The following is a 22,745-nucleotide window of genomic DNA, read 5'->3' as shown; positions in this document are numbered from 1 at the left end:
ATTGCCAACGACACAGCCCCAGGAAGTCTTGAGAACATGTGCCCAAGGTGGTCGAGCTACAGCTTGGTTTTATATATTTTAGGGAGGCACACGATATCAATCAATACATGTAAGATGTACACTGGCTGGTCCAGAAAGGCAGGACAACTTGAAGCAAGGGGTAGGGGTGTTCTAGGTCATAGGTAGATTCAAAGATTTTCTGATTGTCAATTGGTTGAAAGAGTTAAGTTATTATGTAAGACCTGAAATTAATAGAAAGGAGTGTCTGCTTAAGATAAGCGATTGTAAAGAGCAAGATTTTTATCATGAAGATGAAGCCTCCAGGTAGCAGGCTTCAAAGAGAATAGATTGTAAATGTTTCTTATTAGGCTTAAAAAGGTGCCAGACTCTTAGTTAATCTCTCCTAAATCAGGGAAAAGACCTGGAAAGGGAAAGGGATTCTCTACAGAATGTAGATTTTTCCCACAAGAGACAGTTTTGCAGGGCCTTTTCAAAATATCTCAAAGAATAGGAGTGGTGTGAGAAGGCATCCCTGTCTTGTGCCAGTTTTCAAAGGGAATGCTTCCAGTTTTTGCTCATTCAGTATGATATTGGCTGTGGGTTTGTCATAGATAGCTCTTATTATTTTGAGATACTTCCCATCAATACCTAATTTATTGAGAGTTTTTAGCATGAAGGGTTGTTGAATTTTGTCAAAGGCCTTTTCTGCATCTATTGAGATAATCATGTGGTTTTTGTCTTTGGTTCTGTTTATATGCTGGATTACATTTATTGATTTGCATATATTGAACCAGCCTTGCATCCCAGGGATGAAGCCCACTTGATCATAGTGGACAAGCTTTTTGATGTGCTGCTGGATTCAGTTTACCAGTATTTTATTGAGGATTTCTGCATCAATGTTCATCAAGGATATTGGTCTAAAATTCTCTTTTTTGGTTGTGTCTCTGCCCGGCTTTGGTATCAGAATGATGCTGGCCTCATAAAATGAGTTAGGGAGGATTCTCTCTTTTTCTATTGATTGGAATAGTTTCAGAAGGAATGGTACCAGTTCCTCCTTTTACCTCTGGTAGAATTCGGCTGTGAATCCATCTGGTCCTGGACTTTTTTTGGTTGGTAAGCTATTGATTATCGCCACAATTTCAGATCCTGTTATTGGTCTATTCAGAGATTCAACTTCTTCCTGGTTTAGTCTTGGGAGAGTGTATGTGTCGAGGAATTTATCCATTTCTTCTAGATTTTCTAGTTTATTTGCATAGAGGTGTTTGTAGTATTCTTTGATGGTAGTTTGTACTTCTGTGGGATCGGTGGTGATATCCCCTTTATCATTTTTTATTGCATCTATTTGATTCTTCTCTCTTTTTTTCTTTATTAGTCTTGCTAGCAGTCTATCAATTTTGTTGATCCTTTCAAAGAACCAGATCCTGGATTCACCAATTTTTTGAAGGGTTTTTTGTGTCTCTATTTCCTTCAGTTCTGCTCTGATTTTAGTTATTTCTTGCCTTCTGCTAGCTTTTGAATGTGTTTGCTCTTGCTTCTCTAGTTCTTTCAATTGTGACGTTAGGGTGTCAATTTTGGATCTTCCCTGCTTTCTCTTGTGGGCATTTAGTGCTATAAATTTCCCTCTACACACTGCTTTGAATGTGTCCCAGAGATTCTGGTATGTTGTGTCTTTGCTCTCATTGGTTTCAAAGAACATCTTTATTTCTGCCTCCATTTCGTTATGTACCCAGTAGTCATTCAGGAGCAGGTCGTTCAGTTTCCATGTAGTTGAGCTGTTTTGAGTGAGTTTCTTAATCCTGAGTTCTAGTTTGATTGCACTGTGGTCTGAGAGATAGTTTGTTATAATTTCTGTTCTTTTACATTTGCTGAGGAGAGCTTTACTTCCATTTACACTGTTGGTGGGACTGTAAACGAGTTCAACCATTGTGGAAGTCAGTGTGGCAACTCCTCAGGGATCTAGAACTAGAAATACCATTTGACCCAGCCATCCCATTACTGGGTATATACCCAGAGGACTATAAATCATGCTGCTATAAAGACATATGCACACGTATGTTTATTGCGGCACTATTCACAATAGCAAAGACTTGGAACCAACCCAAATGTACAACAATGATAGACTGGATTAAGAAAATGTAGCACATATACACCATGGAATACTATGCAGCCATAAAAAATGATGAGTTCATGTCCTTTGTAGGGACATGGATGAAATTGGAAATCATCATTCTCAGTAAACTATCGCAAGAACAAAAACCAAACACCGCATATTCTCACTCATAGGTGGGAATTGAACAATGAGAACACATGGACACAGGAAGGGGAACATCACACTCTGGGGACTGTTGTGGGGTGGGGGGAGGTGGGAGGGATAGCATTGGGAGATATACCTAATGCTAGATGACAAGTTAGTGGGTGCAGTGCACCAGCATGTCACATGTATACATGTGTAACTAACCTGCACATTGTGCACATGTACCCTAAAACTTAAAGTATAATTTAAAAAAATACATCAAAGAAATGTATTTTGAGGTAAAACATGTTGCTTTCCTTCAGGGCCTGCTATTTGCCATGTCATGTTATAATAGAGTCGGGTTGGAATTTGGTATTTTATTGCTGCAAAGAGTCTGTTTTGTCATTCTTAAGGTGTCAGTTTTAATGTTAATGCTGTTCAGTTGTGCCCGAATTGTAAAGGGAGGAGTGTATAATGAAGCACGTACAACCCCCCTTCCCATCACAGACTGAACTAGTTTTTCAGTTTAACTTTTGAATGCCCTTGGCAAAGAAGAGGGTTCCATTCAGTTGGTTAGGGGGGCTTAAAATATTAGTTTGGGTTTATATAGTACCCTGTCTTCTGGTTAATGTCAATGGCAAAGGATTTGTGTGAAATTATTTGTTCTTGGTTTGTATAGTTTGGAGATTGAGACTTACAGCCCTCCATGTGTTCACTAACATGGAAAATCTCCAAACTCCTTTGATTAGGACATTCATGAAGGATTAGGATATTCATTACATAGGCATGATTTGTTAAATCATTGGCCACTAATGATTAACTCAACCTCAAGCCCCTCTCCCATCCTTGGAGGTTTGGATGGGAGTGCTAAAAATTCCAACCCTCTAATCATGGTGTTGATTTCCTTCACAACCAGTGACCCCCACCCTTAGGGGCTTTCCACAAGTCACTTCGTTGACATAAATTCAAGTGTAGTTGAATGGGGCTTGTTATGACTAGCAAAAGGTTATTCTTTCACATTTTTAGAAGCATTTCAAGAGCTAGGAACAAAAACCAATTACATTATAATAAAAGGTGCTCCTATAGCTCTTATCACTAGCACTTACAAGAGTTTCAGGAGGTCTGGCCAGGAGCTGGGAAAGAAGACCAAAATGTGTATTCTTATTCTATCACAATATCTCAATAGATATTTGGAATTTTTGATATAAATATGAATTTATAATACCTAAGACTGCATTGCCTGTGGATCATAGCTTTGTGAGGTGATCTCTTAGTTGCCAAATCATATCATACTCAAGGCTACAATTATAACAGGTTTTTAAAGTTCTCCTACCAAACTTTTTCCAGCTGTCTAAACATCAAACAGCATATTCTGCAAATCAATGGCAGTCTGTTTTCTACAGCTTTAGCCAAAAGATCATTTTCTAGGCCCTTTTATATATTTTTAACAGAACAATCACCCTGCAAAAATTCTATTTCACTATATCTTGGCAAGCTAAATTAAAATATTGTTCACACTGAATGTAGTGGAACACATATATGTCTTTTATGAGGACACTAAGTTGATGCTCCTTTGTAGATTTACCAAAAGACAACCAAAGACACAACACAGCCTTGACATTGATTGCAAAAGATGCTATTTAATATATGTACTTTGGTTTCTGTTTCCAAATAATAATTTTCATAGGACAAGTTCTCTTAATAAAAGTGAGCTCTCAGTTCAAACAGTTCTATTTTTAAAGTTTTGTCTTTATTATTCACTTTCAGATAAAACAATCCAATTATGCTGTGTAATAGAGCAGTAAAACCATCTGTTAAAAGGTAGGTTCAAAAAATAAGGGAATGAGAACTTTCTTCCTTTTCTTTATTGGAAGATTCATTGTTATTGACTTCCCTACATATCTTCTTTCACAAGATCTTCAAAAATTGTGAACTAGGGTAGATGACAGTATTCTAAAGCAGACACTACATTAACTGGCAGAATAAGAAACCTGACCCCTCACTGTGGCTCTATAAGCAATATAACTATTTGTAAATTTTAATATGATCTGTGAAATTACGAAAAAGATTACATTCTAACTCTAAAACTTCACAATAATTCCAACAAAACTCATGCTTACTGAGAAGTAGTAGAAAAATATTGAAAAAAAAAGATAAGTTATTTCACATTTTGACCACATTACCAAAGTATCATTAAAAAAAAATTAGTACTCATATCACTTGGCACCAGCCACTTCATTTAAAATATAATTTTCTCACACAAGAAGCTATCCCCAAGTAATTGTGAATAGTTAATATAGATGTTTCTCTTTTATATATTTTTAAGCTATTTGTTCATTTTCTCCATCAGATACTTCTTTCATTCCCACACAGGAGATCTACAATTTTACACAGGCATATATGTATATTGTGAATTGGCCAAATTAACACTTGTGAGAAAATAAGAGGCCAAGAAAAATTAAGATTGCAATTTATGTTTTAGGAATTTTTATCTGATTAAAAATAGTGCATGATCATTGGAAAACATAGAAAATATAAACCAAAAACCAAAAACCCAAATTACCCCCTTCTAGAGATAACTTATTCTCTATTCCTGAAATCTTCTCTTGGGTAAGTTGCCTGACTCCTCCCTCACTTCTCCAAGAATCCAGAACTTGGGAAGAAGAAACTGAACTTGAGTGTCTCTGGCCTTTTCGTTGCTCCCCATTGAATCTTGCTGCCAATAAAGTGCATATGCTCTCTGTGCATTTACGTACGTGTGTATATATATATGGCAGGGAGATGACCTATACATAAACATATATGTGTGTGTGTGTAATATACGTGTGTGTAATACATACACACATAATATGATATGAACTGTAATATATACGAAGTTAGCCATCTCCCTGTAATGAGAGATTGAGTGGGGGAAATCTGTCAAATTTAGGAATAACTTTACTCCTTGCCCACAGTCCCTAGACACATTCTCAAATAGTTTCAACAGAAATAAAGCTGATATTTTGATGTCTATATGTTTGCATCTATCCTAAATGGAAGCATATATGCTTGTGTGTCTATCTCTAAATAGCTCCAAATTCAGATGAGTGGAAAGAAGGCTACTATTTGAAATACTCTGTAAGACCCAACTATTATTAACATATACGCATATATTTCTATAATTTTTATTCATTCATTACTCATTTAGGATCTTCTGCTGTGAATTAAACACAATATTCGGGCTTAACAGTTTTCATTAAGCTAACAATCCTATATAAAAGACAAAGCATTGAGCAAGTAATCACAAGGATTATGAGTTCTGTGATTTGGGAAACCTGGGCAGTGGGGCAAAGTAGATCAGGGAGAGCTAAACCAGATCCCTGACTGGGCATGCCCACTTGGAAAAGGGTTAAATCAAAATGTTAGATATGAGATGCTCCCAGTGCAGACTAGGGGCACATTGCTAGAATCACAATGAGTGGAGACCCAAGTTAACCCTGGGCAGTGAGCCCATGGAGGATGCTTCAAGACCATCACCAGAAACCATTCTGCCCTCCTACAGCTCTGGGCCTATAATGGAAGGGGCAACCTCAGTGATAAGTGAAATGCCTTCAGGGTCTTTCTTCCATGGTCTTGATATATAGCACCTGGCTTTTATCCATATTAATCTCTTTGGCAATTGTCACTTGGCCACATCCTTAGTGCTCTCTTCTGAAATTTTCTTTTTTTTTTTTAATTCTTTACATAACCAGGCTGTGAATTTTCCAAATCCTTTCACTCTGTTTCTTATTTTATTATACAATCTTTATTGAAGTCATCCCTCACGTCTCACTGTATATGGTTAAAAGCAGCCATGCAGCAGCCTGAATGCTTTGCTGCTTGGGTATGTCTTCCACCAGATATCCTAGTTCATCACTTTAAAGCTCTGCATTCTGCAAAGCCCTCAGGCTTTGGGTACAATTCACTCAAGGTCTTTACAACTGTAAAACAAGGATGGACTTTACCCCAGTGTCTAAAACATTGTTCTTCATTTCCCTCTGAAACCTCATCAAAATGGCCTTTACCTTTAATATTTCAATCAGCCTTTTGGTCACCACCCCTTATGTAATCTCTAAAAAGTTTCATGTTTCCCTACAGCTCTCCTCTTGTTTGGACCCCTTACCAGAGTTGCCTTTAATGCTACATTCACAGCAATCTAGGCTTTTTCTAGCCTGCTCCTCCAAATTCTTCCAGCCTCTACCCATTATCTAGTTCCAAAGCTGCTTCCACCTTTTCAGCACTTTGCTATAATGACAGCCTCACTTTTCAGTATGAATAGTATGTCTTTTTTTCTGCTGTTATAATAGAGTACCACACACTGAGTAACTTATAAAGAACAGAAATTTATTTGGCTCATGGGTCTGGATAATGGGAAGTCCAAGAGGATGGTGCCAGCGTCTGGTGAGGGATATCCCACTGTGGAAGGGTAAGCAAGCATGTGAGACAGAGAGAACAAAAGGCGGCTGGGCTTATCTTTTTATCAGGAGCCCACTCCTGTAATAACTAGCCCACTTCTGCAATGATGGCATTAATCCACTCATGAGGGTGAAACTCCCATGACCTAATCATCTGTTAAAGTCCCCAGTTTGCAATAATATTATATTGGCAATTAAATTTCAACATGAGTTTTGGAGAGAGCTTCCAAACCATAGCATTATCTATATTTTACAGTGCTGAAGCAGGAAAAGTATAAGTAACTATCCAAAGTTATGACAGGGCCAGGACTCAAATCTATCCAGTCTTTTCATTTAACCAAGTCATGGCAGCTATTTTTTTGCCTACCTGTGGTATTTACCACATGATTATATTACCTATTACTTACCCATTCTTTAATTAATGGTTTAATTTTTCATTATTTTATTATAAATAATACTGCAATAAACATCTTTATATATATCTCCTTATGCATATATAGGGCATATACATTTTTAATTGTATGAAATCAGATTGCTTTCTAAATTGATCAAAGCAAGTAAAAATCTTCATTACTCCGCACCATCAATACACACAGTTTCCAACATTCAAAGGGTCAACTTAGGATTTTTCTACTTTATGATCATGTGAAAGCCATATGCATTTAACAGAAACCATACTTTGAGTACCCACACAACCATTATTTTTTCTCTTTTCAGTACAGCATTCAATAAAGTACATGAGATATTCAAACTTTATTACAAAATATGTATTGTATTAGATGATTTTTGCCCAACTGTAGGCTAATGTAAGTTTTCTGAGCATGTTTCTGGTAGGCTAGGCTAAGCTACGATGTTCAGAAGGTTAGATGTACTAAATGCATTTGGGAATTGCAATATTTTCAACTTAACCATGGGTTTATTATACATCATAAGCTGAGGAGCATCTGTACTTGGTTGCTCAGATATCCTGAGCAAACAGAGCAAAGGCAAAAGTATCACACTATTTGATTAAAAAATATATTATAAGGCTATAGTAACCAAAAGAGGAAATGGTATTGGTATAAAAATAGACACATAGATCAATGGAACAGAATAGAGAACGTGGAAATACTCCCTGGTGTGGGAATGTAAATTAGTACAGCCATGATGGAAAACAATGTGGAGATTTCTCAAAAACAACTATAAATAGAATATCATTCAATCCTGCAATCTCACTACTGTGTATTTATCCGAAGGAAACAAAATCAGTATATCAGATACTTATAGTGAACTGATTTTTGACAAAGGGACTAGAACATACATTGAGGAAAGAACACCCTCTTCAATAAATGGTACTGGGAAAATTGGATATCCATATGTGGAAGAAAGAAACTGGACCCATATCCTTCATACACAAATATCAACTCAACATGAAATAAAGACTTAAATCTAAGATTTAAAACTATAAAATTACTAGAAAAAAATAGGGAAACAATTCAGAATATTTGTCTAGGCAGAGATTTTATGGCTAAGACCTCAACACAGGCAACAAAAACAAAAATAGACAAATGGGATTAGTAGAAGCTGAAAAGCTTCTGCACAGCAAAGGAAAAAAATGAACACAGTATAGAGACTCTGCTGAATGGGAGAAAATAATTGTAAACTATTCATCCAAAAAGGCACTAATATCCAGAATATACAAGGAATGAAACAACTCCACAGAAAAAAAAATAATAATCCCAGTAAAAAGTGGACAAAGAACACAAATAGAGATTTCTTAAAAGAAGACATAAACATGGCCAATGGCTACATGAAAAAAAATTCTCAACATCACTGATTATCAGGAAAATGCAAATCAAAACCACAATGAGATATCATCTTACCCTAGTTTGAATGGCTACTATTAAAAAGACAAAAAATAACTGACACTGGTGAGAATGTGGATAAAAGGGAACACTGTTGAAAGAAATCACAGATGACATAATCAAGTAGAAAAACGTTCCATGTTCATAGATTCAAAGAATCTATATTGTTAAAGTAGTGCTGGGATAACTGGCAAACCACATACAGAAGAATGAAATTAGACCCTTACTGCTCACAATATACAAAAAGTAACTCAAGATGGATTAAAGACTTAAATGTAAGACCTAAAACTATAAAAATCCTGGAAGACAACCCAGGGAATACATTTCTTGACATTGGCTGTATTAGTTCATTCTCATGCTGCTATAAGGACATACTCAAGACTGGGTAATTTATAAAGGAAAGAGGTTTGATTGATTCACAATTCTGCATGAGTGGGGAGGCCTCAGGAAACTTACAATCATGGTGGAAGGGGAAGCAAACATGTCCTTTTTCACATGGTGGCAGCAAGAAGAAATGCCAAGCAAAACAGGGAAAAGCCCCTTATAAAACCATCAGATCTTGTGAGGACTCACTCACTATCATGTGAACAGCATGGAAGTAAGTGCCCCCGTGATTCAATTACTTCCCACCACATCTCCTTCATTACACGTGGGGATTTTGGGAACTACAATTCAAGATGAGATTTGGGTGGGGACACAGCCAAACCATGTCATTCTGGTCCTGGACCCTCCCAAATCTCATGTCCTCACAATTCATAACACAATCATGCCCTTCCAACAGTCCCCTAAAGTCTTGACTCATTCCAGCATTAACTCAAAAGTCCAAGTCCAAAGTCTCATCTGAGACAAGGCAAGTCCCTTCCACCTATGAGCCTATAAAATGAAAAGCAAGTTGGTTACTTCCTAGATACAATGGGGTACAGGCATTGGGTAGATACACCATTTCACATGGGATAAATTAGTGAAAACAAAGGGGCTACAGGCCCCATGCAAGCACAAAATCCAATAGGGCAATTATTAAACATTAAATTACCAAAATGATCTCTTTTGGTTCCATGTCTCACATCCAGGTCACACTGATGCAAGATGTAGGCTCCCATGGCCTTGGCAAGCTCCACCCCTGTGGCTTCGCAGGGCACAGCCCCCTTACTGACTGCCTTCATGGGATGACTTTGAGTGTCTGCACCTTTTCCAGGTGCATGGTGCAAGCTGTCAGTGGATTTACCATTTTGAGGTCTAGAAGACAGTAGCCTCTTCTCACAGGCCTACTAGGCAGTGCCCCAGTGAGGACTCTCTCAGGGCTCCAACCCCACATTTCCCTTCTGCACTACCCTAGCAGGTTCTCCACAAGCGATCAGCCCCTGCAGCATACCTCTGCCTGGACATCCAGGCACTTCCATACATTCTTTGAAATCTAGGTGGAGGTTCCCAATCCTCAATTCTTGTCTTCTGTGCACCTGCAGGACCAACACTACATGGCAGCTACCAAGGATTGGGAATTGCAATGGCCCGAAATGTACATTGACCCCTTTTACCCACGGTTGGAGTGGCTGGGACACAGGGCACCAAGTCCCAAGGCTGAACACAGCAAGGGGGCCTGGACTTGGCCTAAGAAACCATTTTTCCCTCCTAGGCCTCTGGGCCTGTGATGGGAGGGCTGCCATGAAGGTCTCTGATGTGCCCTGGAGACATTTTTCTCATTGTTTTGGTGATTAAATTCTGCTCCTCGTTACTTATGAAAATTTCTGCTGCTGGCTTAAATTTCTTTTCAGAAAATGGATTTTTCTTTTCCACTTCATAATCAGCCTGCACATTTTTTAAACTTTTATGCTCTGCTTTCTCTTGAATGCTTTGCCACATAGAAATTTCTTCTGCCAGATGCCCTAAATCATCTCTCTCAAGTTGAGTGTTCCACAGATCTCTAGGAAAGGGGCAAAATGCCTCCAGACTCTTTGCTAAAGCATACAAGAGTTACCTTTGCTCCAGTTCCCAACAAGTTCCTCATCTCAATCTCAGATTACCTCAGCCTGGACATTATTGTCCATATCACTATCAGCATTTTGGTCAAAGCCATTCAACAAGTCTCTAGGAAGTTCCAAACTTTCCCACATTTCTTATCTTCTACTGAGCCCTCCAAACTGTTCCAACCTCTGCCAATTACTTAGTTCCAAAGTTGCTTCCACATTTTTGGCTATCCTTATAGCAGCACCCCATTCTGGATATTAATATACTCTACTAGTCCATTCTCACGCCGCTATACGAATATAGCCAAGACTGGGTAATTTATAAAGGAAACAGGTTTAATTGACTCACAGTTCTGCAGGGCTGGGGAGGCCTCAGAAAACTTACAATTATGGCAGAAAGGGAAGCAAACATTTCCTTCTTCACATGGTGGCAGCAAGAAGTGCCAAGCAAAAGGGGGAAAAGCCCCTTATAAAGCCATCAGATCTCATGAGAACTCACTATCACAAGAACAGCAGGGACACATGGGGATTATGAGAACTATAATTCAAAATGAGATTTGGGTGGGGGACACAGCCAAGCCATATTATTGGCCATGGCAAAGAATTTATAAACCTCAAAAGCAATTGCAACAAAAACAAAAATTGACAAGTGAGACTCTAGTTAAACTAAAGAGCTTCTGCACAGCAAAGGAAACTCTCAACGAAGTAAACAGACAACCTACAGAGTGGGAGAAAATATTTGCAAACTATGCATCCAACAAAGGTCTAATATCCACAATCTATAAGGAGCTTAAATCAAGAAAAAATAAACTCCATTAAAAAGTGAACATAGGACATGAGTAGATGCTTGTCAAGAGAAGACATACGAGCAGTCAACAAACATGGAAAAATGCTCAACACCACTAAACATCAGAGAAATGCAAATCAAACCACAGTGAGATATCATCTCACACCAATTAGAATGGCTATTACTAAAAAGTCTAAAAAGAACAGATGCTGACGAGGTTGTGGAGAAAAAGGAATGCTTATATACTGTTGGTGGGAGAGTAAATTAGTTCAGCCACTGTGGAAAACAGTTTGCAGATCTCTTAAAGAACTAAAAATAGAACTACCATTCAAACCAGCAATCCCATTACTTGGTATATATCCAAAGGAAAATAAATCATTCTACCAAGAAGACACTTGCATTCATATATTCATTGCAGCACTATTCACAATAATAAAGACATGAAATCAACCCAGGCGTTCATCAACAGTGGTTTGGATTTAAAAAATATGATACATATACACCATGTAATACTATGCAGTTATAAAAAAGAACAGCATCATGTACTTTGCAGCAACATGGATACGGCTGGAGGCCATTATCCTAAGCAAATAAATGCAGAAACAGAAAACTAAATACCATATGTTCTCACTTATAAGAGGGAGCTAATCATTGGAAACGCATAGATATAAAGATGGGCACAATAGACACTAAGGAATACAAGAAGGGGAAGGGAGGAAGGGATTAAGGGTTGAAAAATTACGTATTGGGTAGTTCGCTCACTACCTGGGTAATGGGTTCAACTGTACCCAAACCTCAGCATCACACAATATACCTTTGTAACAAACCAGCACATGTACCCCCTGAATATAAAATAAGTTAAAAATTTTTTAAAAGTAGCCATTCTTAATATTAGCAATAGCACCTAGAAATTAAAATGAATATATATATATATATTTTACAGCAGTGACTAAAATGTAGCATATATAAAAATAAATTTAACAGGCAAAAGATGGAATATAAAATGATGACATAAAAAATAAAACCCTACTGAAAGATTTTAAAATTTCTTTAAAATTGAACAACATGCCTGATTTTTGGAAGATAAATTTTAATACTTTATAGGTCATCTCCCCAAATTAACATATCAATTTAATATAATATCATTTAAAATATGTATAGACAAACAGTTCGTTTGGTAAAAATATTTGCAAAGCAGTGACAGGATTTGTTTTGGAATATGATTTTTAAAAGTTCAGAGGGAAGAAAATGTGCCCAAGAAAAGCTAAGAACATTTGTGAAGAAAAACAGTAAGGAGATATGCTTTTTAGGATATCAGAAAAATAATCTATGGCAAATATAATCAAAGCAATTTGGTGTTGCCATAGAAATGGACAAATTGGTCAGTGAAACAGAATCAAGGATACAAATATAGATCCCATTATATATGAGATTTTAAAATATGACAAAAGTGTGTTTTCAATTCGAAGGGGAAGAATAAAATATTTAGTAAGCTGTTTGGAAGAAGTGAAAGTTGGCTCACTATTTATGGCATGTGTTTTAAAACTCCACTTGAATTAAAAACCCATGCTAAAATTTTTAAAAATAAAAATCCTTCAGTAAAATCTAGAAGACTACATGTCTAATGCAGCAATAAGAAAAAATCATATTAATCAACACTGGAATCCAAAATGTATACAATAATAAATATATTGTCTATACAAATATTTTAAATGTGCATGATAAAGTTATGAACAAAGGCAGCCGACAATATGGAAAACACCTACTATGATAAGCATTAATAATTACAATATTCAAAGAATGTATAAATTGAGAAAAAGACTAATATCTCAGTAAAATGAGCAAGAATATTAATAAATGATTTACACAAGAAGTCCAAACATCTGAAGAAGATAAAAATATATTTAATTTCACAAGTAGTTAAGAAATTCAAATTAATTTAACAACTAATAACATAAACAGTTACAACACCTATTGCTGTAAGGACATGAGTAAAGAACAGTGTCATAGTCTTCTGGTAAAAATGTAATTATTTGTAGTACTTAGAAAGCAATAAGGCAACATACATTAAAATTGAAAAATAGCTTTGCTCTTTAAACCTGGAGATAAAGTAGTTTTTAAATAACTACTTTTATTGTAGCCTTGTTTTGTGACAAAACCCAACAAGATAGAAACCTCTGGAAACAAAGTGAATGTTTATCAAGAAGGGAATGGTTGAATTTGTTTCTTATTATCCATATCACGGTATATTATATACAGCCATTTAGAATTGAATTTTATCCATAACAATCAACATGGAGGGCTTTCCACAAGGTCATCATGAGTTAGAAAACAAGATGCATATATTTTTTAAATGATGACAAAAAGATTGATTTGAGAGTGTATATATGTGAATGGGTATAAGAGTAGAGAAAAATCTAACATAATAGAACCCAATTAAGATTGGTTACCTGTAATATGGAAGCAGAAGAGAAGAGGTGGGCAGAGGCAACTAAGAAAGGAAATTGGCCGGGCGCGGTGGCTCACGCCTGTAATCCCAGCACTTTGGGAGGCCGAGGTGGGTGGATCACGAGGTCGGGAGATGGAGACCATCTGGCTAACACAGTGAAACGCCGTCCCTACTAAAAATACAAAAAAATTAGCCAGGCGTGGTGGCGGGCGCCTGTAGTCCCAGCTACTCAGGAGGCTGAGGCAGGAGAATAGCGTGAACCCAGGAGGTGGAGCTTGCAGTGAGCCGAGATCGCGCCACTGCATTCCAGCCTGGGCGACAGAGCGAGACTCCGTCTCAAAAAACAAAAAAAAACAAAAAACCCAGGCGCCAGTCCCAGCTACTCGGGAGGCTGACGCAGGAGAATGGCGCGAACCCGGGAGGCGGAGCTTGCAGTGAGCCGAGATTGCGCCACTGCACTCTAGCCTGGGCGACAGAGACTCCATCTCAAAAAAAAAAAAAAAAAAAAAGAAAGGAAATTTAAAAATCAAGAATTAAAAAACAACATTATGATATAATTTAGTTTAGGCACTTATGCAAAATTATATCTCTATATATGTATATATTTTCAAAATATATTTTAAACATGAAAAATCATGCCAGTGAAAACAGTGGAATGGCTAATGTAACTTTAATAAAAAGTAAACGTTGTGCTACTTTTTATTTTCGTTTTTCCTAGTACTCAGATCCAGATTATTCTTTGAAATCAACATATACAGATACTATGCAACCTGAATGTATATTAAAATGGTGCAATGATAGCTTTTTCAAATTTTTTTCCATATTACAGGAAAAAAAATATACTGATTGGTATTTTAGCTAAGGTAGGATCAACAGAAAGGAATTAAAAAACAGGAATGATAAGGTTGAAGTTTCGGCAACTTGTCTGGACCTGTAAAAAGATGCAGGATAATCTAATAGGGAAATGGAAGTAAAATTTTCACAGAACAAATATTTTCTGAGTATCTACTATGCACTAGACTCTGTTCTAGGCACTAAGGCCAGCAATAAATATGAAAGCATACTGTACATCTCTCATGGAGCTTATATTTCATTTTGGGGAATAAAATCATTAATAAGTGAACACATAAATGAGAAAGTCTCAACTAGCAAGTGGGCTTTGACACAAATCAGACAATACTGTGAGGACTAGTAGTGTGGAGAAGCATTCCAGACCCGAGATGAAATGACTTAAAGAACCCCTTCCCTGCAGCTCTGAGACTCACGATTCCCAGGCAGGGAGAGCATCACGTGCAAAAGTTGTAATTGAGAATGAGCTTGGCATGTTCAAGACTCGAGGGTGTCAAAGGAGGAAAAAAGATGAGAGCTGAGGATAGAGACAGTGAGAAACTGTAAGGCTTTGGATACTGTAGAATCTTCAAGCGGGCACTAATTCTGTAGGTAAACATGAATTAGAAAAAGTTACTAAAACCTAGATAATCAAAATATCAAAAGCAAGCTCAGGATATTGGTCAAGCTCATGCTGGTCTTTGATACTTCTGTGTTAAGGGAAGCATAGGGCCACTAGTTTTGAAAGAAGCATATATCACAGAAATTACTTAATGTAGTTTTTCCAGCTGAAAAAAGAGCAGGAACAAAGGAAACTCCCTCAAACAGGGAAGATTTTAGCCAAAGGCTTTGAAGCCTTAAGTAACACTGATATAAATGATATAAACGGCTACCCAAGGACAAAAACAAACAAAACAGTTTGCACACCTGTGGAGGATGAGGAATTCCAGACAGAAGAGGAGATCATGAGTAAGTAGAAAGGGAAACACAAGACTACGAACTCTGCTGAGAGAGTTGTCTATTATAAATGAGATACAGCATCCTTACAAAGACTGGAAGATGTGATCCTAGAAAGACCCCACATTCAGTTTATTATCAGTGTGCCAAGAATGCAAGGACAGAAAGTAAAATGAGAAGGAAAATTTAGAGACTTTAAATGAGGTCCTTTTTTTTTTTTTTTTTTCAAACAAGATCTTGCTCTGTTGCCGAAGCTGGAGTGCAGTGGCATAATCATGGCTCACTGCAACCTCAACCTCCAGGGGTCAAGCAATCCTCCCACCTTAACCTTAACTTCCCGAGTTGCTAGAACTACAGGTATGTACCACTATGACCAGCTAGTTTTTTGTTTTTTTTTTTAATTTGTAGGCACAGGATCTCACTATGTTGCCTAGGCTGATCTCAAACTGAGCTCAAGCGATCCTCCTGCCTCTGCCTCCCAAAGTGCTGGAATTACAGGCATGAGTTACCACACCTGGCCTAAATGAGGTACTTTAAAGATTTTAAATGAGACTCCATACTTTAAGGAAAAGTAGGGAATTTGAGAGAAATCCTGAACGCTGCAAGTATCACCTCTTTAAATGTTTACATTTAGCAAGGAGACAGGGTGTTTGAGATGTCACTCTTGGTAAGATAAAGCAGTTTTTATAAGTCGCAAACTCTCCCAAGATATGAGAATCATAAGGTCATGTGCAAGCACTTAATCGAAATTTGTCCTTATTTCCTTGCATGTTTGCAGCTGGTAAATTCTAATATATACATCTATTTGATTTAACTCACATTCTGGTGAGGCTAAATTAAAGAAATGTTTATCCTCTCATTATAATTTTTCTAAATACCTCCTGTCCAAGACAACACTTAAGATTCTTAAGATTAGTCTGTCTATGGCTGCAAAATGGCATTGTGGATTGGGACAAATTTTTTTCATTATGGGAAATCATGAAAATAATTTTGACTCAGAATCTCATATATATACTATATATTTAAATGTATATATACATTATATATACTATATATTTAAATGTATATATACATTATATATACTATATATTTAAATGTATATATACATTATATATATACACACACACACACACCACCCGAACCCAACTCCAGCCCACTAATCTGTGGTGAGACATTTGAAAGTTTCACAAATAACTCTGATGCTTCTTACTTCCACTTAGAAAAATCTTCATGAGGACTGTAATATTTATCTCTTCCTAGGTATATAGCTTTCATGTGGAAAGGATCAGTATATACAGAAATTGGTACTTTGATTATAAGCTGTTGTTGCTACATACTTGGGAGTCCTGCAGTGTAGAATTTAAGCATGTAGACTGGGAGACTACATGAGTTCATTATCCTGGTTCCTCAACCTAGTAAACATGTTTACTTTGGCAAATTATTTCTGAGCCTCAGTTTCTTTATCCACCGAAAAGGGATTGTAAGCATACTCAATTTCTAAAATCATGAAGATTAAATGAGATAATGCGTATGGTTGCAGCTCACTTAAGTTTAGATATTTTGATCTCGTTTGGCTTTGGGAAAGATTTATTGATGCTTTCTAAATTTTGTGGGAATGCAACCAGAACTGTAATATTCTGTTTGGTAAACCCTCCAGAGTTCTGAAAATATGGATCAACTGAGACTTGTTTGAAGGACTAGAAAAAGGCACATCAGTTCTAATGGCAGGTGCTTTATTCTGCAACTGCCACATGGAACCCAGACTCCATGCAGACACCTAAATGAGACTCTTACAATAGCCCAAGAAGAAAAAAAGTAAGAAATATACTTTCATAACATTTGAAAACTTTAAATTTTAAATGGAAATACAGCTGAAAGAGAACCAATTTTTTGGCATTTCAGGAGTTATTTTATTTGTTTTTTCTTTCCTTTTTCTAATTACTGGTGTGGTGTGATTTGGATTGTGCAATTATTCTGATGGTCATTATACAGCCTAGCTGGTATGCTTAGCTGTAACAGAATCAAGCCTAGTTTGACATGGAAACCAGAACAGGACATGTCTTGTCAGTCATGTGTGGCATTAAGTTTAATATTTATGCTGTCCTGACTCACTTTGACTTTTTTAGGGGGGGCTAAACTATGGAAAGATACCAAGGAGGCATTCATACTATGCTTGAGGCTCTGGCCCTCTCTTTTCCTGGTCTCTGGTGAATACTATAGAAACTATACTGCGAAATGCCTACCTGCAGATGCAGGATAGACTCCTCTGCTTTTAGGTCATTTCCTCCCCTGCCACAGGCAGAAATCCCTTTAGATTTTTCAGAGATGGGTGCCTTAAAAACATTCTTGTGCGTCTTCTATGTACTAGACACTGTATCCAGCATAATAGATCATTCTATTAATTTCTTCTATTAGGCCATTTTATAGATGAGGTGTTGATGTCACAGAATTTCAGGGCCTTGCCTAAGGGCAGAAGCTCTCAAATGGCAAAGCAAGGACATCTGAGCTTTCTCACTCTGTATCCTCTGCCTTCTACCATAGAAACAGAGAAATCTAGAGGGGTAAAATAATTTTAGAAATCAAATTATAATTCATCCTTTTACGTTTGAGGAATCTTAGACATAGAGAAGTTAAATGATTTGCCTGAGGCACAGAGCCAGTTAGAAGTCTGACTGGGAAGAAACCTAATTTCTTTACTTTTAGAAGTCTTGTATTTGAAAACTCCGCAAAGCAAGGACACAAGACCCATTCTAAACAGCTGTCTGCTATAGGGACCATTGCATCTTTTTGTATGGGCAGTATATTTCCATTTCCTTCTAGTTTAATGGAGTGAAGGTCTCCCTGGACCCTTAATGTTCAGTTTCAAGGCAATTGGAAAATTCATTTAAGAACCAACTTATCCAAAAAGCTGGAACTTAAAATCAAAGGGAAACAGAGAGGAAAAGAAAATCAGCTGTTAACATCAGGTTAATGGTAAGCATAAAATTCATATGTTTAAGAGAACAATTTGTTAAGATTATTAAAATACTATATAAATATTGATATAGTTTGGCCGTGTCCCCATCCAAATCTCATCTTGAATTGTAGTTCTTGTAATCCCCATGTGTCCTTGGGAGGGACTTGGTGGGAGGTAATTGAATCATGAGGACAGCTACCACCATGTTATTCTCATGATAGTGAGTGAGTTCTCATGAGATCTGATGGTTTTATAGGGGGCTTTTCCCCCTTTGGCTTGGCGTTTCTCCTTCGTGCCATCACGTGAAAGAGAACGTGTTTGCTTCCCCTTCTGCCATGATTGTAAGTCTCCTGAGGCCTCCTCAGCCCTGCAGAACTTTGAGTCAATTAAATCTTTTTCCTTTATAAATTACCCAGTCTCAGGCAGTCCTTTATAGCAGCATGAGAATAGACTAATCCAGATGTGTTTTAGGAATGTGAGATTATATTTATTCCATTTTCTTTGAATGTGCTTGACAGTTTTGAAGTCTTTAGCTAAAACCAATGTCCTTTTTTCCATAATAAGGAGGGCAGTATTTTACAAAATTATTATTTTTAAGTATCTGAAGCTTCAAGGCATGAAGTTGTCCTTATTTTGTGTTCCATGTTACAGCTGGAAATCCATTTTAATGCAATACAGTGAAAAGGTTTATAAATATTTATCACAGAGGCATTTGCATGGAATTCTCATAAAAAATCACACTCACTCACACACATGCACACACACACACACAGAGCCGAAGAACAACTACAATAAATAAACTGATATTTCTGGAAGAAATCATTCATTGGTTTATAGTGAATTCATATTTATTCAACCTATAGTCTTTGACATCTGTAAAAGAGAGTATTGGTGAGCAGTATGATTTATAGGAACTATGGGATAAAATAATCATACAAATAAAACAATGAATTTCTAATATATAATTTTAGATACTTTGTAATGTGTTCACAAAATGCACCAAGAATAAAACTGCCAGATGAAACAGACAAACAGATAGATGAAGCAAAAATAAGCTTAAGCCTCAAATGCTCTGAAGTTTTCTATAGACATGAAGAAATCATGGCTAGTAGAAAGATCTTATTGGGGTGTATGGATTTTGGAAAAACACATATTGAGAAAAAGAATAGGATAATGATATATGAGTAACATGTTATTTTCAAGCAATAAAGAAAGCACATTTTTTTATTATTACAATAGCCAGTCTGTAATGTTAATATGTGCCTTTAAATATAGTGCAGTAGGTACTGTTACTGCACTATATTGCATCACTGTTTTATTAAATGATCGATCTATAGAAGTTTTTAACAGATGAAAGACTCTAATTGAACTCTGCATACAATTGCCATTCTGTTGATGATAATGGCACTATTTTTGAGCACATTATAGCCATTTTGCAAATTCATCCATAACTTAGATTCATCATTATTATGATAATTTTACTCAATTTATTATGGTTTAATTAGAAATCCAGATGGAAACAAAAATATGTCCTTCACAGTTTACAAACCATTGATTTTTCCATCCTTCCTCTCATTAGTAGTTCCCACTTGAAAGTTATTTGGATGTGAATGGAATTAGAAATTTAGACATATGTTTAAAACAACTTTGAATATTTGGATTAAAAAAAGGAAACCAGCATCTTTGTATAATTCATGTTATCATTAAGATTTTTTAAAAAGAAATAAATATTTCAAATATCTACACTATAGCTGAGGGGAAATGGGAGATGAACAAATGTATTTTTGGTTTTTAGTTAGTAGTTCTGTCTTTAACTAGAACGACAGCTTGAAGAAGATCATTTTCCTCTCCTCCAGACCCTAAATTTGACCTAGGGCGGCACTGTTGGAAAATGCCTGATGGTTTGACAGAAGAACTAAAATGGTATTGTCTGGAAACCCTATCTCACTCCCAGAAGGGGATAAAACCTCTCCAAACGCCTTCAATAAGGACTCTGGTGTCCTGTACGCAGCTCAGAAACCTGATTTCAGCTTTTCTAGCAAGTGGAAATGCACAAGATGAAGCCTCAGATACACAAAGATCATTGCTTAGAAGCATCACGGATAAAAACAGTTTAGAAACTCGCTAGCTTCAGACCCGCTAAGGAAATTCAACAAAGTTACAACACAATACAGCCCCGGAGAGGGCTTGGGGGGAACTTTAAGGTGAAGAAAGCGCCCCACATCCCTTGACCAGGTCCCTGCTCTGCAAGCCTGGGGCCACAGCCATCTGTGGTGCAGACATCCAGGGCAGAGAAGCCCCCCAGTGTTGGGCCAGTGACCAAGCGGGTGCCTGTGTAATTAGGAAGGGATTTGAAAAATCCAAGGTGTCGGTCCACAATCGCTAATATGTGTCATCAAGGCAAGCGTTGGGCATTAGAGAGGGGTCGCGCCCCCAAGCGGGGGCCCCCAGACAAACTGGCCCATGCTGTTACCTCTCCCGGCGAGCCCTGTCGGCGGCAGGAACCAGAATCCACCAAGCCCGTCTGCAGCAACAGGTTCTGTCCCTGCTCCGGCTCCAGCTACTTTTCGCAGTCTGCCGGCTCAATCCCAGCCGACGTCTGTCCCCCGCGGACTGCCTGCTCCACTCCAGGCTTCCGCTCCAGGCTGGCCCGCCGCGCTGCTGGACGCTGAGTGCTCTGCGCTCCCTCCCCGCCTCCTTGTCCGGTGCAGATGAGACGTCACTTTCCAGGAGGCACCAGCTGGCCGCTGGGGTTCCGAAGAAGCTATTCATATCCCGCTAAGGGGCACCCAGGTACATTCTTGTGAAACTCAGAATCCGAGCGCGGCAAAGAAAAGGAAGCATCAGTATCACCATTACTTGGCTCCAGATCCTGGGCAAGTGATTTAGCCTCTCTGTGCCTCAGTTTCCTCGTTTGTAAAATAGAGATGATGATGATATTAATCAGTAAGTAATCTGAGAATTATTTGTCTACATGCAAAAGTGCCTGGAATGGTCCTGGTACACATTAATCATTACATTAAATGTGAGCTATCATCATCTTTAAGGTTCTAATGGGACTGAGAGATTCATCGCATATTGCAAACCCTCTCTCTGTCTGAAGCAGACCGTATTTTTTGAGCCTTTGCAAAGATCTTTTAGCTTGCAAGCAAACCCCTCTGAAATTCTGGAAATATATTCACAGCATAATCAGAAATGGAAGGGGAAGAACCCTGGGGAGACTCACAATGATCCTAACAACACTATCTGCCCAGTTGGGTCTTGCTAATAGAGAGATGATGACTAGACTTTAATGGATTAACTTAGAGATTTATACAATTACTAAGAAAGGGATAATTAAAGGTGCTTTAAGCATGAGAAACCTGTGAGGAGCCTTTTAGACCTAATCCTCACGATAGCACTCTAGGTTTGTGAAGAGTTGATATATAATTATTTCCAATTCACACAGAGGCACCAAGGTTTAGTGACTTGTCTAAGATTACAGAGGTGGTATTTAAATGAAAGAAAAGCTCCAGAAGCCAAATTCATTTCTTTATCTGCTACATTTCTCTGCCTATATCACTGGTACACGTGGAATACAGAAAAAAAGCCTATGGTGAGACAGACCTTTTAAAGTAGGATTCCTTGGTCTTGGATTAAAGTTGCAGATTTTGACAAGTGTGTGTGTGTGGTGTGTGTGTTTAATGACTAAATTGAGGCGTATTTCTCCCAAGACTTTACCAAGTTCAAGGTAAGGATACTGGTCCCACTTCTCTAAAGTTTATCAGGATACTCAAGGCACAGAAAGTCATAGAAAAGAAAAAGACGTTAAAGAGATAACACAGGAGTCATAGGATAGAATAATAAGTTAGTTGGGTAAAATAAAACTAAGAAGAGAAAAGCATTTTGTATTCAACCTGAAATTCTCAAATCAAAGTGCAAAAATAATTGTGATTCATTGCTCTACACAGTACCTCATACCACTGGAAAAATAAGTCATTAAAAAGAATGAAAGCAATAGCAACGCTTTTGATGAGACAGTGAGGTAATGTCCAGCTTGCTAGGATTCTATTACAAATTAAAAGAAATATGAAACTTATGTAACAATCATTTAAACTATGATTCCATTTCTGTATCATGAAACAACACACTGCAAGAACTATTCTCCTGCTCCCCACCCCTACCATTCCACCACCACTAAAAACAGTAGACTATATCCATAAGCAGGAGAAAATTATATAAAACTAGGGAAGGACCTGATATGCACCTTTCCCTGAGTACTTCTCCTGTAAACACCTACACACCCTGCTTTAAC

The 22,745-nt window shown here is 37.5% G+C and overlaps 1 protein-coding gene across 4 annotated transcripts in view, besides 1 other annotated feature; it reads right to left on the bottom strand.

Annotated features, from left to right (window-relative positions):
• Positions 1-21,125, bottom strand: part of NPFFR2 (neuropeptide FF receptor 2) — a 116,306-nt gene extending 95,181 nt beyond the window's left edge. For 2 of the 4 annotated variants that reach the window (NM_001144756.2, NM_053036.3), the window contains exon 1: positions 13,712-13,993. Coding sequence is in view for 1 of the 4 variants with exons in the window: in XM_011531554.3 (XP_011529856.2) it covers positions 13,712-14,015 (304 nt within the window). In the remaining 3 variants the exon portion in view is untranslated. Of the gene's footprint in view, positions 1-13,711; positions 14,109-20,924 lie in introns of those variants that run through there. The other 2 variants (NM_004885.3, XM_011531554.3) reach the window with 2 other exon arrangements.
• Positions 20,914-21,516: an enhancer, noted in NCBI's record as "OCT4-NANOG-H3K27ac-H3K4me1 hESC enhancer chr4:72897326-72897928 (GRCh37/hg19 assembly coordinates)". NCBI's record gives its function as "activates a minimal SCP1, AML or CMV promoter by ChIP-STARR-seq in naive H9 embryonic stem cells {active_cell/tissue: H9 hESC(naive)}" and the evidence as "EXISTENCE:reporter gene assay evidence [ECO:0000049][PMID:30033119]".

This window comes from Homo sapiens, chromosome 4 (genome assembly GCF_000001405.40).
Source record: "Homo sapiens chromosome 4, GRCh38.p14 Primary Assembly".
In the NCBI taxonomy this organism is placed as follows: domain Eukaryota; kingdom Metazoa; phylum Chordata; class Mammalia; order Primates; family Hominidae; genus Homo; species Homo sapiens.
The sequence above is the reverse complement of the archived record's forward strand: the minus strand, read 5'-3'. Positions and strand labels throughout refer to the sequence as shown.